Raw genomic sequence first — 16,567 nt, 5'->3', positions numbered from 1 at the left:
CAGTGACCACAGGGAAATGGGGGCCACAGGGAAATGGGTGCGGGGAGCAGGGGAGATTCGGGAGGTGGGTGGAAGAGGACCACGTGCTCCCATCCTGACAGCCCAGAGCCTGCGTGTGCCTGGGGCGGCTGCTCTCTCAAAGGGCATGCGTCTGTCTTGGGGACTGAGGGTCTCTGAAGTCAGGTCGCCTCTTGCTCGAAAGCCCCCTGCCACCTTGCTCTTGACTTTAGCACCTCCTCACAGGGCAGCACGTGTTATGTTATCCGGGAGGAAATGGAAACCCTGGGAGGTTCTCTGGTGGGGGAAGGGAGGAGCGGAGGTAGACTAAGAGGGGGTCAGCAGGGGGAGAAGGGGGAACCAGCCCAGAGTTCTCCAGGGACGGGTGCGTGTTGTCCTAGCCTGTGCCCTGGGAGTGACACCAGGTGAGTTGAGATTTCAGTACCCAGCATTTTTGTGACTGAAGTAAAGAAAATTCTGATTTGGCCCTTGCCTGCTTGTACAAGTTAACTGCTTGCTTTTTGCCCAGCATCCCTTGTTCACACAATGTGATCATAAGCTGCAGATGTCCTGTTTCTTTGTCAAGAAGGAGGAGATAACTTCAGAGTCACAAAAGTATTTTGCAGGAGTGAATGCCTTTAGGGACGTAGAGACCAGCCGCTGTCGCCCGCAAGTCTAGTTGCTTAAGATGTTACCTGAGACTGAATAAACACAGACTTTTCCCCTGAAATGCCACCTCCCTCACTCCTTAGCCACATAAAAACTCCCTGCTTCATCCTTTTGTTAACATGGAGTGGAGGAATTTGCTTTCTTGTCTTCTTACTTTAGCCAAATGAAATAAATCTTTTTCTATCTCCAAGCACTTGTGTCAGTTTTTGACCTCCGCTGCATATCAGGTACACGAACCTGAATCTGGGGTTCTACAAAGAGTCTCACATGTCACCACTCAGCCCCCCTCGAACACCTACTGCGCTCGGTGCTGGGCCCCGAGAGGACCGGGGTTCCTCTTTCCCACAGCCCCAGACCCAGAGCCCCATGTGCTCTTCCCTTGGGAGAGCAGTCCCTGACTGAAGATGTCAGGAATTTTTGGATGTTGAGGGAGCAACTGGGACCAGGAATGGAGGGGATTGGGCTTGGGGAGCCACCTGCCAGGGACTGACTCTCCTGGAGGTGGGGGACACCGTAAGCCCTGGATCCAGAACCAGGACTGAGATGGGGTCTCTAGGAAAAGGGGACTCTCATGGTCCCTCCCTCCGAGTGCCCTGACCCTGATATTTGACCCGGAGGAAGGAGAAGGGGCATGAGGAATCTGGCTACTCCAACCTGAGGCCCCGTCCCCTTCCATCCCTTGTTGGTCCAATAATTCTGTCACTTGAATCCCGGGTCCCGGGATGGGGGCCTGGGTCCAGTGGGCTTTGAGCTCTCCAGGGAGGAAGCTGGATGAAGTGGGTGGGCGTGGCCAGGTGGGCTGAGGGCAGCCAGGCACCTGGGGTCCAGAGCTGAGATCTGCAGTTGGGTGGACCAGGTTTGAGTCCCTACTGTGACCTGTGGCAGGTCACTCAGGCTCTCTGGGCTGTGATGTCACCATCCTAGAGTGAGGATCACAATAGGATCTTCCTCCAAGGGTGATTTGGCCTGGAGGGCATTTAGTCTCAGGGGGCCTGCTGGAAGACAGTGCCCTAGAGCTGTGGCTAAACTCCCAGTGCCTTCCTGGAACCCCAGGAGGAGAAGGGGCCACAAGAGACCAGGGATAGGGAGGGCTTGGGCTGGGCTGGGACGGCCCCCCAGGAGTGGCTCAGCCTGGACTGGGCAGGGCATGGAGAAAGGGAGAGGAACTCGGGAAAGGGGCTGTGGTCGGCTAAATTAGGCCCCGCGGGGACAGTCGTGTCCCAATCCTGGACCTGTCTATGTGTCATGTGTGGCCACAGGGACTTTGCAGATGTCATGTCAATTAGGAGCCTGAGGTGGGAAATGCTCCTGGGTTATCCAGGTGGGTCCAAGCTGGGGTCTTTGTAGAAGAAAGAGGGAGGCAGGAGGGTCAGAGTGAGAGGACAAGATGTGGGGATGGAGGGAGACGGAGAGAGAGAGAAGGAAGAGAGGGAGAGAAGAAGGTAGGGAGGGAGAGAAGAGCAAGAGAGAGATTTGAAGATGCTGAGCTCAGGCTCTGAAGTTGGAGGAAGGGGCCAGGAGCTGAGGTTGTCCTCTAGAAGCTGGAAAAGTCCTGGAAACGAATTCTCCCCAGAGTCCCCAGAAGGAGCCGGCCCTGCTGGGACCCTGATTTTAGCCCCCAAGGACTCATTTTGGACTTCTGACCTCCAGACCTGGGAGAGAGTCAGTGTGTGATGTTTTAAGGCACTAAATTAGGGGTCATTTGTGATAACAGCCAGCAGCCACAGGAAAGTCAAACAGGAGCCGTGGGAGAGACTCCCCAGGATGCCACAAGGGCCCCTCCCAGGCCCCACCCACAGTAACCCAGGCCTGACCCCTGCAGGTGCCCCCACTCTACAGAGGAGGGGCCATGCAGGAGGGGCTGGGTGGGGCTGGGTCGTGTTCTCTTCCCCCACCCCTTCCTCTCAGAGAGCAGTTGGAGCCCCAGACTCAGGGAACCTCACAGAGAAAGTCCTGATGAGGGACCTGGTTTTCCAGTGAAGGCCCGGGATCCAATGGAGAAGTGTTCCCAAAAATGATGTTCCCAAAGACGGCCAGTGACTTTCTGTTCACGCACTTGAGAGAATCACCATGTCTAAGGGCTGCCAGATAGTTACCTGTGCGTGTGTCAAGGTTCACATCCCATTACTACTGAGGCCTTGGATAGAACATGTTCCCACTTTTAGTTGTGACGAGATGACTGGCCCCAGCATTGAGAACACCACCTTCCCTTCAGCAAAGGGTTTGTTTAAATTTACAGAAGTGGTGAAGTGCTTATTACCCTCCTTGCACTGGTTCCTAGGGAGCTCAGAGCCTATCTTTTCCAAGTGTCCCGAGCCTCCTGTAGGCCTTTCGTGTGAGTCTCCTTCCTGGCTTCCTCCCATTCCTCTTAAGTGTCTGAACCTGCTGTCAGGTGAGGAATCGAGGTGGGTCCCTCATTGAACAGCTTGAGAAGTCAGTGGTGCTGGAGTGTCCTGGACAGTCTGGCTCTCAGGGATGACAGGGAGGGGGTGAGGGTGGGTGGGAGCTGAGCTGGGCACAGAGGGAGGAGGGCATTCCGGGGGCAAGGGCCAGGGGCAAAGAGGCTCCAGGCTTGGAGCAGGGTTTTCAGGCTGGGAAAAGAGATGGTGGGTGAAGGGTGTCTCTGTTAGGGCAGAGATAGAGGGTGTAACTGGAGTCCCAGCCAGAGACAACTCCATCCAGGCAGGAGGCAGGGAGGTGGGGGGCTATGCTTTGAGGAGAAGGGGGAGGAATGAAAGGGCAGAGGGACTGGTGTTCAGTGATCAGACTTCTCCTATCCGGGCCTCTTTCACCAGGAGACACCCCGGGAGGCTATGAGCCTCTCCCTCAGGGCCACTTTCTCACTGGGTGCCAGGATTCCCCCACCCAACACTGAGAACCCAGGGGAGGCCTCAAATTATGTGTGAGATAAGAAAAGAAGAGAGGGAGCAGGATTTCTCGTTGACGATGAGGATATTTATTGAGAAGGGCTGGATGACTTGGGATGGGGGCAGAGACCCCTCCCCTGGGAACCTGCAGCTCCAGGCCCCTGTGGGTGGGGTGAGGGTCGGGGGCCTAAGAGCATTCTGCAGGGGCCACTGTCTTCTCCACGGTGCTCCCTTCATGCGTGACCCGGCAGCTGTAGCTTCTGTGGGACTTCCACTGCTCGGGCGTCAGGCTCAGGTAGCTGCTGGCCGCATACTTGTTGTTGCTTTGTTTGGAGGGTTTGGTGGTCTCCACTCCCACCTTGACGGGGCTGCCATCTGCCTTCCAGGCCACTGTCACGGCTCCCGGGTTGAAGTCACTTACGAGACACACCAGTGTGGCCTTGTTGGCTTGAAGCTCCTCAGAGGAGGGTGGGAACAGAGTGACCGAGGGGGCAGCCTTGGGCTGACCTGCGGGGTGGATGAGGGGCAGGGGGTCAGAGTCCTGGTGTCCACCTGGGGAGCCCCTGACCTCAGTCTTGAAGTGGGTATGGGACTAAGGCCCAGGGCAGGGACCTCAGGCCGGACCCTTGCTGGACTGAGGTCAGGTCAGCGGTGAGTGGAGACACTTGCTGTCAGATGGGAGTTGCCCCCACTCTTGGGGGTCACAGACCCCCTCTTGGATCTGTCTCTTTTTCATATTTTCCATCACCTATAGACCCCCACCGGTGCTGGCTCCACACTGGATGGGATGGAGTCCAGGACCACATCTCACCCTGGGTATTTGTCTATCTTGGGGGTGTCTGTCTGAACACCTCCTACCAGTTCCCCTTGTTCTCATCTCTTCATGCAGGGCAGCTGTTGGTCCTGGGTTCAGGCTCTTCTCTCTCACAGGGAGTGGGTTTCTTACCCACACATCTCCCTGGTGCCATCATTGCAGCCCCCACCCCACCTCCCTGCAGAGACCCCTCTGGGCTGCCTGGTGAGACAGGGTGTCAGTCCTGGGGGCTGGATTCCAGTAGATCAAAGGCCTCCATTTGAGGCATTTTTTTTTTACTCCCTGAGCTGAACGTGGAGCTTTGTCTGTTCGAAAGAGTCTCCATGTCGTGAGAAGTTATCTGGGGGATCTGACTCTCCAGTGGGTTTTCCCTGACAAACAGGCACCCGTCCCAGTCACCGTCCCTACCAGAAGTCCCTGTCCTGGGCATCTGCTCTGAGGTCTTCCTCCAGTGGAGGAATTGGTAAGCATCCACGTTTAGGGCCTGAGTTTTCTGAGACCCACCACCCTGTCTGTGGTGTCCTGCCTGTCTTGGGGGATGGCGTGTGACCCAGCGCTGTGGGGCCACCTTCTCACGGAATATTCTTCCTCTATCTTTGTCCTCCTGCCATTTCCTCCCCCATCTCTCCAAGTCCTCAGTCAAAGGCCTCCTGTCACTGTGTTTAATGCAGCCCCGTAACTGGGACCCACAGAGGACAGAATCACAGAAGAGGGCAGGAGCCCAGGCAAGGAGGGGCAAAGATTCCAGACCTCCAGACAGGCTTAGACCTTAGCCTTCGACAGACAGGAAAGGGAAAAACTCCCCGTGTTTAACTTGGGATCTCAAAGAGGAGAGAAGCGGGGAGACTTACCGAGGACGGTCAGCTGGGTGCCTCCTCCGAACACAGCACACAGTGACACAGCCCCACACACAAACCCCTCCTGACACACCCGACCCGTTCCCCGCTGCAGCAGCTTGGGCGCCCAGGTCCAGTGGCCCTGTCATGAAGCAGGTCTGGCCGATAGGAGGGTGAGGGGGATGGCCCCTCCATGCATGGATGCACACTTTACTGGAAGTCAGGGATCCCTTCACCCCCAGAGGGAGAGGGGAGAGGGAGGAGGCATGTCTGCACATCACATCTGGGTCCCCTGCTACTCTCTGTCCTGGAGGAAGCCATGTGTCCCGGCTCAGCTCCTTTGGAGACTGTCACCATGGAAGAAGTGAGAATCCTGTTTATGCCACAGGGAAGGTGGAGCTGGTCCCCTATGGAGATCCGAGTTCCCTGGGAGGGTCCTGGATGCCCAGCACAGCCCCTAGTGGGATGCCCATGTGGTAATGATTCTAAATAGCACAGGAGAGTGTGTGTGTATGTATTTGCATGCAGGCATGTTTGTTTGTGAATACCTGTGTGCCTATGAGGTGTTCATGTGTGTTTATGTTTGTGAACATGTATGTATGTGTGTTTGTCTCATAGCCCAGGCCCCCCATCCTGTGCTACCTCCTGGGACAATCATCAACCCGGTTCTTAGATCCCACATACAGCTCTTAAAAAGACCAATTGGTTTACAGGCACGTCTATGGCACCACTCTGGAATCTCATGATTGACTTTGACCTCCCCAGCCCCACTGACCATCCGTGGATAACTGGACATTAGGTACTTGAGGTGTGGTCAGTTTTGGGCTGGTTACTTAGGGGTGAGAGAGAGTAGAGTTGACCCTTATCCCCCAGGGGACTTGAGTATAACTGGGACACTGGTGACACATGTGGGACCAGGGGTACCCAGCTGGCCTGTGGGGTGAGTGACCTGGGTCCAGAGGGTCAGGGTCCAGTCTGTGCCTGCTTCAGAGATAGATGTGGGGGTAGAGGGCAGGGTCCTGGGAGTCAGGAACAGGGTGGGCCCCTAAGGAGTAGGGGAGACCAAGGGCCCATGGACTGGAGAGGCTCCTTCCGCCTCAGAAGGAGGGACCCCTTGAGAGAGGGAGGCTGTCCAGGGGTGAGGCCTGATGATCCGTGGAGGGTACTCGTTCTTCTGGGCCATGGGGAACCAAGGAGCGGTCGCCCCAGGCCGCTGGAGGTGGACATGTCCACACAAACACAGCACGTATGGGAAAGGGGCAGTCCTGGGGCCTGCTGCCCAAGGCTCTGTTCTGGAATATTCTCTGGGCCTTTCTAGGTGATGGTGGAACTACCCCTCAAAAACAATCCAGACTTCATTCCCACAAGGCTAAAAGAATTTTGTTCATCTTGCAGGTTGGACCAATTTAGGGTAGAAAATGTATAAACAGAAGCAAAACACAAAACCCAGGGTTTCTGGTTGACTGAGGATATTTATTGAGGGTTTATTGAGTGTAGGAAGAAGGGCTGGATGACTTGGGATGGGGAGAGAGACCCCCTCCCCTGGGAACCTGCAGCTCCAGGCCCCTGTGGGTGGGGTGAGGGTCGGGGGCCTAAGAGCATTCTGCAGGGGCCACTGTCTTCTCCACGGTGCTCCCTTCATGCGTGACCTGGCAACTGTAGCTTCTGTGGGACTTCCACTGCTCAGGCGTCAGGCTCAGGTAGCTAGCTGCTGGCCGCGTACTTGTTGTTGCTCTGTTTGGAGGGTGTGGTGGTCTCCACTCCCGTGTTGACGGGGCTGCCATCTGCCTTCCAGGCCACTTTCACAGCTCCCGGGTAGAAGTCACTGATCAGGCACACCAGTGTGGCCTTGTTGGCTTGAAGCTCCTCAGAGGAGGGCGGGAACAGAGTGACCGATGGGGCAGCCTTGGGCTGACCTGCGGGGTGGATGAGGGGCAGGGGGTCAGAGTCCTGGTGTCCACCTGGGGAGCCCCTGGCCTCAGTTTTCAGGTGGGTGAAGGACTAAGGCCCAGGATAGGGACCTCAGGCTGGGCCCTTGCTGTACTGAGGTCAACTTGGCGGTGGCGGGGATGCTTACCTCCTGATGGGAAACTCCTCAGCATCTGAGGACTGAGGAGAATCAGGCCTCTTCTGCTCCAGCCTCCTCTCCAGATTCTCCCCTCCTTATCAGCCAGCTCTCACCTCACCTATGCTCCCCGACGCTGGCTGGGTTCAGCCCTGGGCCCTCGTCTTTCCTTGGGGGACGTCTCTGTCTGAACATCCCCTGCCAGGTCCCTCCTCTGGGTCTGTTCACGAGGGCATCTGTGTCCTGTTTTTAGGTTCTCCTCCCTTTTGACAAGTGAATTTCTTCCTCACATATCCCCCAGCACCATCATTGCAGTCTCTGCCCCACTTTCCCACAGAGGCCCCTTGGTGGGGAGGGGATGTCAGTCCTGGGAGCCGGGTCCTGGGAGTCCAGGAGATGGAGGGCTTGCATGTGAGGTATATTTTCTGTTCTGAGCCTGGCGCTGTGTCTGCTCTATGGGGTCTCCCTGTCGTTGGGAGATCTGGCTGTCCTAGGACAAATGTCTGTCCTGACAGGTCCCTGTCACCTGCGCCCACCAGGAGTGCCTCCCTCAGCATCTGCTTTGGGGGTCTCTCTTTTTGGGTGGGATGGGGAGGCTCTAACCTTGGACTGAGTGTCCTGAGAACCACCCTGTCCATGGCAGCCTGCCTGTCCCGGGGGAGGAGGAGGGACCCAGCACCCTGGCGCCACCTCACAGGACATTCTTCCTCCATCCTTGTCCCCCTTCATTTCCCCAAGTCCCCAGTCAAAGGCCTCCCTTCTTGGTGTTTAAAGCAGCCCCATAGTTGGGACCCAGAACCCTGGGAAGCTGAACTTTTTCCAGCATCCTTCCCCTGTCCCATGGCCCTGGTGCCCCAGCCTGAGCCCCTGCTCTGCTGGTCTTTGGGGACTGGAGACTCTGTGCGAGGGAGCAGAACATCCCAGAGCCCAGGGGAGAATGCCCCCTGAGTGACAGCGGCAGGTTCAGGCCTGAGCAGGGAGCATTAAGAGGTCACTGGGATCTTCCCATCATGCCCCACCAGGTGCCTAAGAAGGGACAGGCTGGAGGAATTTGGGGCCAGGAAAAAAGGCAATGGTGGCAGACCCCAGAGAGATTGAGACCTCTACCCTAGAGAGAACAGAAAGGACAGAAAAGTCTCCCCAGATCTCACCCTAGACCCAAAAGAATAGAAAAGGGGACTCACCGAGGACGGTCACCTTGGTGCCACTGCCGAACACATTACACTGTGATATAACCCTGCACACAAACCCTCCTGATACACCCGACCCAGGCCACCCCCCCCCAACCCCCTGCAGCTGCTCACAAGGCCCAGGGTCCAGCCCCCTTTTCTCATGGGTGGGTGAGCCATAGGTGGGGTGAAGGGGGTCACCTTCTACTGACCTGAATATCACTTCCTTGGGGGCTTAGGGGTTCATCCACCTCAGTCATGGGAAGGGTTGACAGGTCTGTGTGTGGAATTGTCTCCCAGGTAATTGCATTTCTGAGGAGTTGGGTGGCCTGGATCAGCTGGTGTCAGGAATGCCAGGGAGGAAGGGGAGGTGAGCGGCTGGGTGACGCCACTGACATGGTGCAGCTGGGACCTCTTTGAGAAGTTGGGAATGGTGGGGAGGGTCCTTGATGCCCCCCACATCCTCAGCACTGGAGGTTATGATGGGATGGGCTTGGAATGGGAATTGGGGGTTGTGGGAAGAATGACGTTGACCACAGGGACACAGACCCCACTGCAAGGTCTGAGCTCCAGCATCCTTGGCCCAGCTGTCCTGAAGGAGCAGCTCACAGATCACTGCCCAAGTCCGCCTCCTGAACCCATGGGGACAGCTTCCTACCTATAGGCCATGTGTGCTGGATTAGAGCTGCAATGGCCCAGAGGAGAGCTTCTCAAGGGAGGTCATAGGCCTCACTGGCAGTGTGGTTTCCTCCAGGAGCTCTACGTGTGGGGGATCTCTGCTGTCCACTTCAGCTCCCCCGGCTTACACACACACCCACATGTGTGTGCTCTGCAGTCCCCTACATGCACGGGTGACCCACACAGCCTGTGCTCTGGAGTGTCACCGGCACGGGGGGCACCCACAGTGGATGGGCATGTGCAGTGTGGGGCCTGGACACACACAGCCTGGACCTGCATCCTGGTCTGGGCCCATCACCTGAAGAGCTCACACCTGGGACACACTCCTGGCACCATGCAGTCCCCAACAGTATTCCCCACAGCAAGCGCCTCCCCTGACTGCTGAGATGTGGCCTGCTGCTCCCTGATCAGAATCCCGTCCACATCTTCTCCTGTCTCCCTCTTGGCCTGGACAGAAAACCCTGCCCCACCCTCCCATATCCAGGGGCGACCCCCTAGTCCCAAAGCCTGGAGACAGCAGGTCTCAGCTTTGCTTTGCTCATGTCCTGACCTGGGCCTGACTGCAGCCCCTTCTACCTTCCTGATCCTCCCAGAAGGATGCCCAGCATGGACATGTGTGTTTATGTGCATTGTGTGTGTGTACACGTGTGTGTGTATTATAGCTCAGATCCCATGCTGAGTTCTTCAGAAGAAGAATCAGCGTCACCCAAGCTCCTGGCATAACCCCAGAATCTGACTTTGAACTCACCAGTCAATTGACAACTTGTGCACAGCAGGACATTAGGCATTCATAATGGTGTCAGTGAGGAGCAGAGCCGACCCTTGTCCCCTAGGAATGTTGAATACAGCTGGGGCATCCGGTGACACATGTGGGATGAGAGGCACCCAGAGGGGGATGTGGGGTGAGTGACCAGGGTCCAGGGGGTAAGCATCCCATCAGTGATTATTATAGGGAGGGCCTGTGGGGGCTGAGGGCAGGGTCCCTGGGATGACGGGAACAGAGTGTGCCCATGGAGAAGGGGAGATGCTCTAGGCTTTGATGAGGGGAAATACAGGTGGGGTGACCACATGGCCTTGGAGGGGGATGGACAAACACCTTGAGAGAGGGATGGCATCTGGACAGTGAGGGCCGAGGACAACAAAGAAGGGAGCTGAGATGTTCTCCCGGGGCCATAGGGATGTAAGGAGGGTGTGTCCCCGGGCAGCCAGAGGTGGACGTGCTCACAGGGCAGCAGGAAGCACAACAGAGACGTGGGTAAGAATGAAGATGTCTGGTTCCTTCTGAAGACTATTTCCTTGTTCTGGAACATTCTATGGGGATAAGGTGATGGAAAAAGTATGGCTCAGAGAAACACGAAGATGGTCCCAGGCTGCATTGTCACAAGTCCAAAGGATTCTGTTGATCTTTGGAGATAAAAAAATTTAGGATGGAAAGTGGATAAACAAAAATGAGCAGACAGCATGTTTTCTGATTGACAAGGAGGACATTTATTGAGGGTTTATTGGGTGTCGGCAGAAGGACTGGATGACTTGGGGTGGGAGGGAACACCTCTGCCCTGGGATCCTGCAGCTCCAGGCCCCTGTGGGTGGGGTGAGGGTCGGGGGCCTAAGAACATTCTGCATGGGCCATTGTCTTCTCCATGGTACTTTCTTTGTGCGTGACCTGGCAGCTGTAGCTTCTGTGGGACTTCCACTGCTCGGGCGTCAGGCTCAGGTAGCTGCTGGCCGCATAGTTGTTGTTGCTCTGTGTGGAGGGTGTGGTTGTCTCTATGCCCTTGGTGACTAGGGTGCCATTTTCCTTCTATGGCTCCTGGGTAGAAGTCATTTATGAGACACACCAGCATGGCCTTGTTGGCTTGGAGCTCCTCAGAGGAGGGCGGGAACAGAGTGACCAAGGGGGTGGCCTTGAGCGGACCTGCAGAATGGATGAGGGGCAGGAGGTCAGAGTCCTGGTGTCCACCTGGGGAGCCCCTGACCTCAGTGCATGAGGAGTGTTCAGGCCCCCCAGTACCAGTGCAGGACCTCTCAGATGTGGTCCACACTGTCTCAGAAGGGTGTGACATCATGTTCCTAAAAGAACTCTGTCAGTCAGAAAACCTCTGAGCTTGGCCCCTGCCCATCGCCTGTTTGGAAATCTTCCAAGGACTTGGGCTTTTGTATAGACAGTGGACCTTCAATTGCCTGGCGCTGCCTCACCCTGTCATCCTGACGTGATCCGGCTCTGGCTGTGTTCTCTGAGCTCTGTGAGCCTCTTGTTAGATTCACTCTGGAAACTTTTCTCACCTGACACAGCTGCTCTGGGTTGGGGGAGAGTGGGTCTCTCACGTAAGAGCTCTTGTTTGTACCCACATCCGTCTCTCCTGGATCTTCTGCAGTGGAGTCAGGGCCTTTGCTCACCCAAGTCCCACTGTCTGTCTGTCCTGGGCTCTTTGTCTGTGGAGTCTGTGTTAGAGTCTCTCTGTGTTTAGGGCCAATCTACAGTTTTTCTGCCTTGGGATATGCCTGTCGGTGAACTCAGGGGTTCCTGCTTCTAGGGGTGCCTCCCACAGAGACCCATCAGCCACCTCCCTGAATGCCATGGCCTTTCGTGACACTTCACCTGGCTCCTTCATGTCCAGAGCCTTCCCGTCCCTCCTGACAGGGCTTCATGGGTCCCAGGCCAGCTCAGGGCTCTCTCCCTGGGAGCCCACAGAAACCTGGAGAGGCCCCTGCACCTCCTACCTTGTTCCCAGCCTGGATCCAGAGTCCCACAGTCCAGGGGACTGGGCCCTGAGACTCTGAGTTTTCATTCCCCTATCTTGGCTCTGAGGGTTTCAGGTCCTTCTAAAGTCCACCAGGTGGTCACTCCTTCGAGCCCCTTGTTCCCTCTCCCTCATGAGATGGGGCCTCAGTTTCCCTTGCACAAAGTTCGTTAGACAGAAGCCCAGGTGGGGGAGGACAGAACTGAGCAAGTTTTAGGGAAGCAGCCTGGCTCTGGCAGACAGACAGACAGATGAGTCTCAGTAGGTCATCCAGTCTAGTGCCCTACATCTGAGGTCAGAGGTGAAGGGGTCTTGGTGACCCACTGAGGTAAGGGTCTAAACAGGGAGGGGAGAGGTCCTTGACCAGGGCCTAGGCTCCAGAGAGAAAGCATCACCACAGGTCAACACAAGATACAGAAAAGAACAAAAGCAGCAGAAAATTTCCCAGTACCTTGGGGAGACCAGGGAAGGAGGGGGAAAAGACTCATCTAGGACGGTCAGCTCGGTCCCCTCACCAAACACCCAGTGCTGTGACACAGGCTCATACAAAAACCCTCTCTGGACGCCTCTACCCCCAACCCCCGCTGCAGCTGTGATGGAGGAAGCTGAGGCCACAGCCCCTGGTGGCATCTGCTCATGAGGGAGTTCACACGGCTGCCACACTCACCCCCACAGAGAGAAGGGGACAGCTGACATCCTGTGACCAGCAGGATCCCTAGAAATCCTGGTTCCTGGAGGACAGTGGATTTGGTTTTCCCACCAACCATCATGCAGCCATGGGGATGAGTTTATTGGAGGGCACTGTGTCACTAGGAGTGAACTCCCATGGTCAGGGATAAATGGTCTCCCTGGTGGAGCTGACTCGACACTGACTGCTTGGTGACGCCCTGGGGTGATGCAGAGAGTGCCCTCTCCCTCCAGGAAGAAGCTGGTTACCCTAGAGTGCGGTGTCTTGGGAAGCTTCCCATGAACCTATCTGTGACTCCAGGAGCCTCAGCCCAGCCTTCCCTGGGCTTGTCCTAGTTGGGATGGGCCTGGCCAGTGAGGCCTGGCTGGTCCCCACTGGAAATGCCAGCCCCATCCTCCAGGGTAAAATGGAAGGATCTCCTGCACCCCTCAACCTGGTCTCATTTTGGTGGGTGAGGTGGGGTAGTGGCTGCCACTGCCTTATTCAAATGTGAGGGACATAAAGGAGCTCCCGAGTGTGGTCTCCAAATATCACCTTCTGCTAAGGGAGGTGAGGTCAGTGCGGGATCCCAGGCCTGGGGCAGGAAAGGGACATGATGAGACAGAACCTCTCATCCTCCGAGAAATCAGGAGCCATGGAAGCTCCTGGGGCAATGGGAGAAAATCAGATGCCACCTGAGGAGGCGCCCAGTGGGTAAATGTTTATGTTTTGTAGCCGCATTGTCATTGCAATTCAGTATATCTGCAGTGGAGCCCACATGTCAGATGTCCTCACACGCTAGAGCTCACTCCGGTACTACATTGTGCTGTGCGCCCTGGAGGATGGCTGGGCACCAGATCATCAGTTATCAAAGTGGTGAACAAAAGGGAAGAATGTACATTTTTTCTTCTTCCCAAAGCATGAAGCACACTCCTGAGCGCACGGTGCAGCTGCTGTGCCCTCCCTTCTGGAAGCCCTCATGAGAAGGAGGTGGACCGAAGTCTTGACCATCTGCCTTCCTTCTCATCTGAGGCGCGAAGTTATTGATCATCAAATGCAGCTAATGTCACTGAAAGAATGACAACACAACATGGGTGGCTTTGCTGGAAGTAGCCACGTGTCCTGGGAAGCGAGTTTGCCAATGTCCAGCCTGAACCCCCTTGAGCCTCTTGATGCTAGAACCATTTTTCAGGAAAAGAGAGGTTGAGGGAAGCACTGGGTTCCTGCTCAGGGAGGTGGCGCCTGCATCCCGACTGTGGGAGGTCCCGGGACCAGCTCTCTGCTCCTGCAGCTCCTGCCTTGCCAGGGAAAGCTAGAGCAATTTGGGAGACACCTGCAGATGGAATGGGTCTAAAAACACATTCACCAATGATAACGTCAAGTATTAATCCACATAGAAATGAAATTAAATCACAAATATGCAACAGCACCACAAAGTCGACAAAAATAGACACAATGATATTCACAAGACATTTGATAAGACTCTCATTAACTATTTTTGATGTCAAGAAATCCTTGATATTCTCTCCAGTTGTGTGTGTGATGACTAGCATTTGCTTCACACCCTTGCTTGAAGGAGTAGTTTAGTTATTCTGCTGTGGGTGGGTCCGCATTATCTGAAAATGGATGATGCTGCGGACTGGCTGATGGGAACCTTGGAGTCATTACTATTCTTCTGTCTCCCTATTTTTGTGTTCAGAGATCTTCATCATAAAAATGTACAACTTATAGAGAGGGTGAAGCTTGGGACAGTGTCTCCCATGGGCTTGAATTTTCATAGCTGTGAAATGGGTCAAACAGAGGCTGAGGGACTCTGGGCACCTGAAATTCAATTCAGCTCACGGCTGTGATTTGGGGCAGGGGTGGCTGGGACTGAGCTCCAAAGGGGCCCCTCTCTTTGTGTATCATTGTGGAAAAAGCCCCCAGGCCTTGCAGCTCTGTTCCTGTCCTGGCTGGCCATCCAGCAGCTGCTGCCATGTCCCTGATGAACCAGAAACAGTGGGGGTCCCAGCCCGGGCACTATGGATTAACCGAGCCTGTCAAGGCCTTCAAGGGACCAAATTGCCCACTGTCAGGGACCCCGGGATGAGGGTGTCTCTGAGTGAGGCTGCCGGTGCACCATGGTGCAGGGGGTGAGGGGACGGAACAACGTGAGTGACAGAGGGAGTGGGGCCTGGTGGGATGGGGGTGTTTGGGGCAGTTGAGATCCCGTGAAAGCCTGACTTTGCCTATAGATAGCCCCTAGGTCATGTTCACCCTGTGCTGACCTTGCGTGACCCAGCCTTGACTCTAGTCCAGAATGAGACTCTGACACAGACTCTCCCCGACAACCATGGGATGCCCGTTCTGTGCCTGGGATGGTGTCTTTGCTCATTTGTCTCAGTCCACAGGAGTCCTCCCCTCACACGAGCTGACCATCACAGGCTCAGCCACACACCAAGCACATACTCACTCCACCCCAGAGCCTGACTTTAGAATTGGGAACTTCATGGTTGAGATCTCAGCCACGTGCTGGTTAACTTTGAACCTCACCCTAAGCCCATCTGATCATAACTGATCACCCGTGTGCCCCAGCCTCACCCCACTTTCCAGAGCTAGCGACGTGAACACCAGTATCTTGCAGAGCATCCTAGGGCTCACTAAGTTGGCTGGGATGGTGAGCAGGATTCTGGACTTCCTGTTTCCCTATTGCAGGACTTGTAAGTGTCTTTACTTAGCCACCCTGTATTGTGAAAATCTGTGAAATTCACCTGTGAGTTTCCATTCCCAGACCTTTCCACAAGTTCCTGGTGATGGCACCACCATGGACTTCTCACCCGATAAACTGGGCACCTGGATTTTCCTCATCCTTGCTTAGAATTTAAGGAGGTTGCAAACTAAATATGAGATAAGAAATGAAGACAGACAGCAGGATTTCTGGTTGACAATGAGGATATTTATTGAGGGTTACTGGGTGCAGGGAGAAGGGCTGGATGACTTGGAGTGGGAGGGGAGACACATGCCCTGATCCTGCAGCTCTAGGCCCCCGTGGGTAGGTGAGGGTCGGGGACCTAAGAACATTCTGCAGGGGCCACTGTCTTCTCCACAGTGTTCCTTTCATGCGTGACCTGGCAGCTGTAGAGGTTGTGGGACTTCCACTGTCGGGTGCCAGTCTTAGGTAGCTGCTGGCCGCATACTTGTTGCTCTGTTTGGAGGGTGTGGTGGTCTCCACACCCTGGGTGATGGTGATGCCATCTATCTTCCAGGCCACTGTCATGGCTCTCGGGTAGAAGTCACTCATGAGACACACCAGTGTGGCCTTGTCTTGGAGCTCCCTGCCTCTGGGGTCAGAGGAGATGAAGGTGTCTCAGTGACCAGCTGAGGCATACAGGGGTCTGAATAGGGAGGAGAGAGATCAGCCTCCCAGGACCGAGGTCCCAAAGGAAACCCTGACCACAGGCTGTGGCAAGTCACAGACAAAGATCGAAATCAGAATAAAATTGTCACCAACTTGGCAGGGAAAGAAAGGGAAGAAGAGACTCATCTAAAATGATCAGCTGGGTTCCTCCACCAAATACAAAATGCGGTGACACAGGTTCATACAAAAACTCTTCCCTGGGGCCCCTAACTCCCCCTCCCCATCCCCCACCTGAAGCTATGGTGCAGGAAGCCAGACCACTGCCCCTGGAAGGCATTTGCTCAGCAGAGTCCACACACCTGCCTGCCCTTCTCAAGCTGAGATGGGACAGTCGACCAAGCGTATGCAGTAACGGGACGTCTGGAAATGGCGAGGCCTGAGGAGGTTGGTGTCTGGATCAGGTTTTCCAGGTGACTGTGACCCAGGAATGGGAATGAGCTCCTTGAGGGCATTTGCTTCACGAAGGAGTGAAGTGACATGGAAGGGGACAGGGATTCTCTATAGGGTTGTTGTAACCCTGATCTCTTGGTGTGACTACAGGGTAAGAGCAGGAGGCGTCCTCAGGTGTCCCCAGTGAGTGCCTTAGAGGAGGGGCAGCTTGCCCCAGAGTCAGCAGTCATGGGAAGCTCCAACGTGACCACAACCACAACTCCAGGGCGTCTCACTT

General features: G+C 55.4%; 1 long non-coding RNA gene, 3 pseudogenes, 5 gene segments (V, D, J or C) and 1 further gene, besides 1 other annotated feature; 1 reads left to right on the top strand and 9 right to left on the bottom strand.

Annotated features, from left to right (window-relative positions):
* The first annotated feature begins 1,667 nt into the window (after positions 1-1,667).
* On the top strand, positions 1,668-6,628 carry LOC105372947 (uncharacterized). 4 transcript variants are annotated; one of them, XR_938041.3, is made up of 4 exons: positions 1,668-1,987; positions 4,730-4,810; positions 5,897-5,982; positions 6,502-6,628. It is a non-coding gene; the product is annotated as an uncharacterized LOC105372947 (long non-coding RNA). The 4 variants fall into 4 exon arrangements; XR_938043.3 differs by lacking the exon at positions 1,668-1,987 and adding an exon at positions 4,464-4,551; XR_001755445.2 differs by lacking the exons at positions 1,668-1,987; positions 4,730-4,810 and adding an exon at positions 5,242-5,547.
* IGLC7 (immunoglobulin lambda constant 7) lies at positions 3,721-4,040 on the bottom strand. The segment is given in 1 exon segment: positions 3,721-4,040. A coding segment is annotated over 1 exon segment (320 nt).
* IGL (immunoglobulin lambda locus) overlaps positions 3,721-16,567 on the bottom strand; it is an 896,838-nt gene continuing 883,991 nt past the window's right edge.
* Positions 5,199-5,236, bottom strand: IGLJ7 (immunoglobulin lambda joining 7). The segment is given in 1 exon segment: positions 5,199-5,236. A coding segment is annotated over 1 exon segment (38 nt).
* IGLC6 (immunoglobulin lambda constant 6) lies at positions 6,776-7,099 on the bottom strand (annotated as a pseudogene). The gene is given in 1 exon segment: positions 6,776-7,099. A coding segment is annotated over 1 exon segment (324 nt).
* On the bottom strand, positions 8,433-8,470 carry IGLJ6 (immunoglobulin lambda joining 6). The segment is given in 1 exon segment: positions 8,433-8,470. A coding segment is annotated over 1 exon segment (38 nt).
* On the bottom strand, positions 10,702-11,010 carry IGLC5 (immunoglobulin lambda constant 5 (pseudogene); annotated as a pseudogene). Its single transcript is given in 1 exon segment — positions 10,702-11,010. A coding segment is annotated over 1 exon segment (309 nt).
* On the bottom strand, positions 12,325-12,362 carry IGLJ5 (immunoglobulin lambda joining 5 (non-functional)). The segment is given in 1 exon segment: positions 12,325-12,362. A coding segment is annotated over 1 exon segment (38 nt).
* Positions 13,377-13,547: a silencer, noted in NCBI's record as "fragment chr22:23255258-23255428 (GRCh37/hg19 assembly coordinates)". NCBI's record gives its function as "represses an EF-1alpha promoter that drives an FKBP-Casp9 reporter gene in an ReSE screen in phorbol 12-myristate 13-acetate-treated (for megakaryocytic differentiation) K562 erythroleukemia cells {active_cell/tissue: K562(+PMA)}" and the evidence as "EXISTENCE:reporter gene assay evidence [ECO:0000049][PMID:32094911]".
* On the bottom strand, positions 15,554-15,806 carry IGLC4 (immunoglobulin lambda constant 4 (pseudogene); annotated as a pseudogene). Its single transcript is given in 1 exon segment — positions 15,554-15,806. A coding segment is annotated over 1 exon segment (253 nt).
* IGLJ4 (immunoglobulin lambda joining 4 (non-functional)) lies at positions 16,027-16,064 on the bottom strand. The segment is given in 1 exon segment: positions 16,027-16,064. A coding segment is annotated over 1 exon segment (38 nt).

Source organism: Homo sapiens, chromosome 22, assembly GCF_000001405.40.
Source record: "Homo sapiens chromosome 22, GRCh38.p14 Primary Assembly".
Lineage (NCBI taxonomy): Eukaryota > Metazoa > Chordata > Mammalia > Primates > Hominidae > Homo > Homo sapiens.
Note: the sequence above shows the minus strand (reverse complement) of the source record. Positions and strands in the feature narration are given on the sequence as shown.